At 39.6% G+C, this 6,000-nt stretch overlaps 1 annotated feature.

The window, feature by feature from the left end:
* Positions 459 to 753: a silencer, noted in NCBI's record as "tiled region #3343; K562 Repressive non-DNase unmatched - State 24:Quies". NCBI's record gives its function as "represses a minimal TATA promoter and a strong SV40 promoter by Sharpr-MPRA in K562 cells {active_cell/tissue: K562}" and the evidence as "EXISTENCE:reporter gene assay evidence [ECO:0000049][PMID:27701403]".

Genomic DNA, 6,000 nt, shown 5'->3' with positions numbered 1-6,000 from the left:
ACATGTGGGATTTGACTTTCTGTGTCTGACTTGTTTCACTTAAGATAATGACCTCCAGTTCCATCCACATTGCTGCAAAAGACACTTCATCCTTTTTATGGTGGAATAGTATTCCATTATGTATATATGTATGTTATTTATAGACACCAATCAATTCCTAATATTTTCTGTCCACGGAGCATTCTACAATTTTTAAAAGCAGGTTTACATGTTATTTTATTTTTTCATGAAGAATTATTTTTTGTTTTGATATACAATTTTTTTCTAGTCTATCTAAATGAACTAAATTACATATTCTTTAGCCTTAGGCATTTCAAGATGAGGAAAGTAAGTCTGAGTATTGAGTTTTGAACAAATTTTTATCTAAAAAGATAGAATGGCATAAATGCCCAGTACCCTCTCCCCCATCCCTAGCCTGGGAGCAGAACACTTACAGCTCTGGCATACATCTCCAAAGGGTGGACATGGAGGCTAACTGATGAAATATAAAAGGTTCTTCCTGGCCCATGACTCACATGTGTACATTTCATATTTCCTGTCCCAGAATTGAAAGGTTAGGGTGTGTCTTCAACATGATAGAAGAACAGCGCAGTAGTTCCAGTCTGGGCTGAGGGTTGGGTCTTTTTAATGTGTCTCCTCCACCTACCCCAACTGCTGTCCAACACAGTGGAGCCAACTTTTTGTTGGGCTCTTCCTTTGAGGCTAACATATCAGAAGTTGTTATTTCTCGTTCCTATTTTGCTCTTAAAATCCTGGTATAAGTTAGTGTAGGCCTTAAAACTATTGATTCAATTACTTTATCTTAATTAGGATGGCCAGTTTAACCAGAAAATGCTTATGGTTATATTCTATTCCCTTGGATTCATAATGCATTTTGAATGAAAACATACTCATTACCCTAATCCAAATATTAGTATGGACTTGGCATCTGCTTTTCTTTCTGGGGAGACAAACCATATACAAAGGAATATTCTAAAACACAATATGACACCTGATTCACCGTCTTCAATCCTAGCCCCTAAATTAAGTAACAGTAAGCCAGAACTTAAAGAAAAACCCACTGCACCCTCACAATCTCACTTTGAAAGATGATTATTGTTCTCAACTAACACATGTGGAAACTGAGAAACGAAGTTTTCAGACACCTACTCAAAGTTGCCCAGCTAGTAAGACAAAGACCTGAAACCACAGAAATCTCAATTCTTCTGACTTCATGGTATCTCTGCTGCATCCTACTTGTAAATGATGTGAGAGATACTGCCCAATGTCACATGTACGTGCATCTCTCAACCAACAATCTGGATGTGTTTTCTCTTCAAGTCCACTAAGGTAGTGGAATCACTTCCTCTACCACGTACACTTGTACATGTACAAGTACATGTACCATGTACACTTCTATGTACAATTGATCTTCACTATTTGTGGATTCCACATGTGCAAATTTGCCTACTCACTAAAATGTATTCGTAGCTCCCAAATCAATACTCACTGTACTTTCATGGCCACTCTTGGACATGCACAGAGCCATAGAAACTTGAATGGCCTGATGTGCATGTTCCCAGTTGAGGTCTAAGATGGCAATACTCTGTCTTCATTTCAGGTCTTATCGGGGGAAATTCAGCCAGATATCAGGCGAAATTCACCCCTGATATTTCACGTACGTTCTTTTCTATTTTCCCTATGTGTCAGCTGGTTTGAGAAATAAAGGGATAGAATAAAAAAGAGAGAAATTTTAAAGCTGAGTGTCCATGGGAGACATCACATGTTGGCAGGTTTCGTGATGCCCCACAAGCGGCAAAACCAGCAAGTTTTTATTAGTGATTTTCAAAAGGGGAGGGAGTGTAAGAATAGGGTGTGGGTCACAGAGATCACGTGCTTCACAAGGTAATAGAATATCACAAGGCAAATGGAGGCAGGGTGAGATCACAGGACCACAGGACCGGGGCGAAATTAAAATTGCTAATGAAGTTTTGGGCATGCATTGTCATTGATAACATCTTATCAGGAGACAGGGTTTGAGAGCAGACAACCAGTCTGACCAAAATTTATTAGGTGGGAATTTCCTGGTCCTAATAAGCCTGGGAGCGCTACGGGAGACTGGGGCTTATTTCATCCCTAAGCTTCGACCATAAAAGACGGCCACCCCTGAAGTGGCCATTTTAGAGGCCTACCCTCAGGGACGCATTCTCTTTCTCAGGGATGTTCCTTGTCGAGAAAAAGAATTCAGTGATATTTCTCCCATTTGTTTTGAAAGAAGAGAAATATGGCTCTGTTCCACCTGGTTCACCAGCAGTCAGAGTTTAAGGTTATCTCTCTTGTTCCCTGAACATTGCTGTTATCCTGTTCTTTTTTCAAGGTACCCAGATTTCATATTGTTCAAACACACATGCTCTACAAACAATTTGTGCAGTTAACGCAATCATCACAGGGTCCTGAGGGGACATACATCCTCCTCAGCTTATGAAGATGATGGGATTAAGAGATTAAAGTAAAGACAGGCATAGGAAATCACAAGGGTATTGATTGGGGAAGTGATAAGTGTCCATGAAATCTTCACAATTGATGTTCAGAGATTGCAGTAAAGACAGGCATAAGAAATTATAAAAGTATTAATTTGGGGAACTAATAAATGTCCACGAAATCTTCACAATTTATGTTCTTCTGCCATGGCTTCAGCTGGTCTCTCCATTCGGGGGTTCCTGACTTCCCACAAGCTCTCATACCAAAAACAAGTGCCACATTTTTCATGTTTTTGTAATTTTTATTGGTGATTTTGTTTAAAATGGCCCCCAAGTGCAGTTTGGAAGTGCTGTCTTAGCGTTCCCAAGCAGGAGAAGACTGTGATGTGCATCATAGGGAAAATGTGTGCATTACATAAGCTTCCTTTAGGCATGAGTTATAGTGCTATTGGTTATGAGTTCAACAATAATGACTCAAGAATATACATTAAATAAAGTGTCTTTAAACAGAAACACTCATAAAACAAGATTATGTACTGGCCAACTGACGAAAATGTGACCAAAGATTGTGACTTAACCCTGTATCTCCTCTAAGAACAATGGTTCAGTGCTCACTTATTCAGTATGCGTGGCTACTTTACAGAAAATAAGTACAATGAATAACAAGAATAGGCTGTATTTAGACAGTGTCATGGGCATTGGTTTTGAGGTACATCATCTCAACCCTGTGTAATGTCAGGGCCTGTCTCAGCTCCATATCCTCTCCCCACAATAGGGACTACTTCAGCCCATCAAGGTAGTACTTACAGTTTGGTTTGGGTTTGGTAAATTGGTGCTCCAATATCACTCTACCTTTAGAAGTAATAAACAAGGAAGTAAGTTTCTCTGACCACAGCTATTTGGGGGCTGGAATAGACCTGCTGCTTTGACAGTGGGAACAGTGGAAACATCCTTTGCTCCAGGCTATCAGAAAGGGCATCAGGTATTTTAAATTGTGTATTTTACTCACATTAATATCTTCTTAAAAGAATTGGGAAAATTCATTGACTTCCTTGTTTCTGGTGTGGAATCATGAAAAACAACTACCTTACAAGAAGCAGCTAATATTTAAGAGGATTGTTAATTTTCGTAGTCTCTATTTTGGCTGCAACTGCAATAAGAAGCCATGAGAATCCTGGCAAAAGCGATAGCCGTGGCAATGTAAGTCCACAGCTTCCTGTAAGATGTGAAAGAGAGAGCTGCTTTTCTAAAGAAAACATATTTTTCTTGTTTTTATGACCAGCACTAACATCAACTGGGATCCAATATAGAGACTTGCCTTTTATGAATAATCACGGTGAAGCCAGGTGTGCTGTTCTAGACACTTTACCTGCATTCCTTCACAACAGTGTCTAATCCTCACAATAACACCAAGAGGTAGAAGGCATTGTCCTCATTGCAGATGAAAATCTGAAGTTCAGAGGATAATTTTCCCATTGTGTAGTAAGAGGCAGCTTAGATGGAATTCCAAGCCTGCCTACCTCCAAAGCTGGTGTGTTGCCTTCCCCAGAGCACCCTCACACAGGATGAGCTACGTAATTTGTGGAGCCCACTGAAAAATGAAAATGCAGGATCCCTTGTTCAAAAATTACGAATTTCAAGACACCCACCACAGAATATTAAAACAAGAGCAGGGCCCTTCTGAGTGCCCGGTTCTCTGTGACTGCACAGGCCTCATGCCCATGAAGCCGACCCTGCCCTCATGTCACCATACCAGCCAAAAGCACAGATCCTGCAGGAGTTGGGGCAGTATGCAGCGGAATGCTTCTATTTGTTCTTGGTGTGATCTGTGTCTATGCCACAGTGGAAACACTGCTAATTTCTCTTGGCAGTCTGAGTGCCTTTGCCTCTAACAAAGATTTCAGAAGCATCCGTGGAAACAAAACAAATTAATAAACATAGAAAGACAGGCTGCCAGTCTCTTGATACGTGACTGACAATGACAGGGATTTTAAGTAAAAAATCAGGATAAGACAATTTTCTTTTTTGCCATTTTTTCTTTCTGAAACATCTTTAAAATTTTAATTCCTTTATTTCTTTAACACTGATATGCTTTTGTTCTGTGAATAAATTGATTTTTTGTTCATCATTCTTTCACAATATCGCTCCTAAGGGCACAGAATTTCATTTGGAGCTGAACTAGGTAATTCTCATTTGCCACAAGGTGTTGGGACTTCCTTAATTCCTGCTCTGTTCCCTGCCAAAGCTAGCTTAAGTCCATTGGCATTGTGGGGGGAATCTTAACAGTCTCTCCTTATTTCACTAGCATTTTATGGCTTTCTCAACCTTAGTGCCTGACAAGTTGTACAGGCTGAGAGGGGAGAGAAGAAGTCTGAAAACAGTAGAAGGGCAAGAGCCTTCCATTCCTTCACTTCGGTCACATTTTCTTCAATGAACCTCTTTTATTCCCAACCAAGGAGCTCAATGTCCTTAGGCTGCTTCCCTTGAAAAGTCTAAAGCCATCAGATTCAGCCAATGTTGGGAAAACAGATTAAATTCACTATACTGAAATGTCAGTACAATTCAGCTTCCTTCTCCCAACCCTTATCTCACAACCACTGCTACAGGCTTTTGTCTATTTATTATTATTTTTAATTGACATATAATTTTACATATTTATGGGGTACAGTGTGATATTTTGAACATGTGTACAATGTGTCATGATCAAATAAGGGCAATTAGCATACACATCACCTCATTTATCATTTCTTTGGGTTGGGAAGATTCAAAATCCTCTCTTCACTATTTGAAAATATACAATAAAATTATTGTTAACTCTGGTTACCCTGCAGTGCTATAGTGGGAGGAATAAGCTGTAGTGTTCTACTGCTACTAGAGGGAGGCATCACTTCAGTTCAACTGCCTAATGTCTTGGAATCAGCTATTTCCTTTCCCACCTGAGAAACTATCAGTTGTATCTTCTTAAAAGGGTTGGCCCTAGATACAATTGGCTAGTTGGATAAAAACTAACAGATGATGTATTTTTTATAGGATTGGTTTATTTGCTCCTGCTAACCATATGACAACATAACTACTATGTGTATCAGATTTATTTGATTGCAAATGTGTTTATCTTCTATTCCAAACCTCATGTATGACCAGTGTTCAATTTATTGCTTTGGTAACAACAGCAGCTATTCATACCTAACCAAAATTAGGAAGAACTCTGCTCCCAATCTAAGCTCAGATCTTCCTTCTCCCTACCTTCAGATTAAGTTGTTTCACCACATTATAGCGATAGTCAGCACCTTCCAAGGGAATCTGAGATCATGAGAAAGAGCTTTTCTGATATGGAGCAAGGAAAGCTCACAATACTTATAGCACAAATACTCCTCAGGATTGATCCCCTGCAACTGCTCTTTGCATTAGTTATCTACTGCTGCAAAACAACCCCCCCAAAATTTAGCAGCTTAAAACAACAATAAGCATTGTTTCATCCAATTTGTGTGGGTCAAGAAGGTGGTAGGGCTTAGCTGAGTGATGCTGGTTTTCAGTTTCCCAC

Source organism: Homo sapiens, chromosome 7 (genome assembly GCF_000001405.40).
Source record: "Homo sapiens chromosome 7, GRCh38.p14 Primary Assembly".
Taxonomy (NCBI): Eukaryota; Metazoa; Chordata; class Mammalia; order Primates; family Hominidae; genus Homo; species Homo sapiens.
Note: the sequence above shows the minus strand (reverse complement) of the source record. Positions and strands in the feature narration are given on the sequence as shown.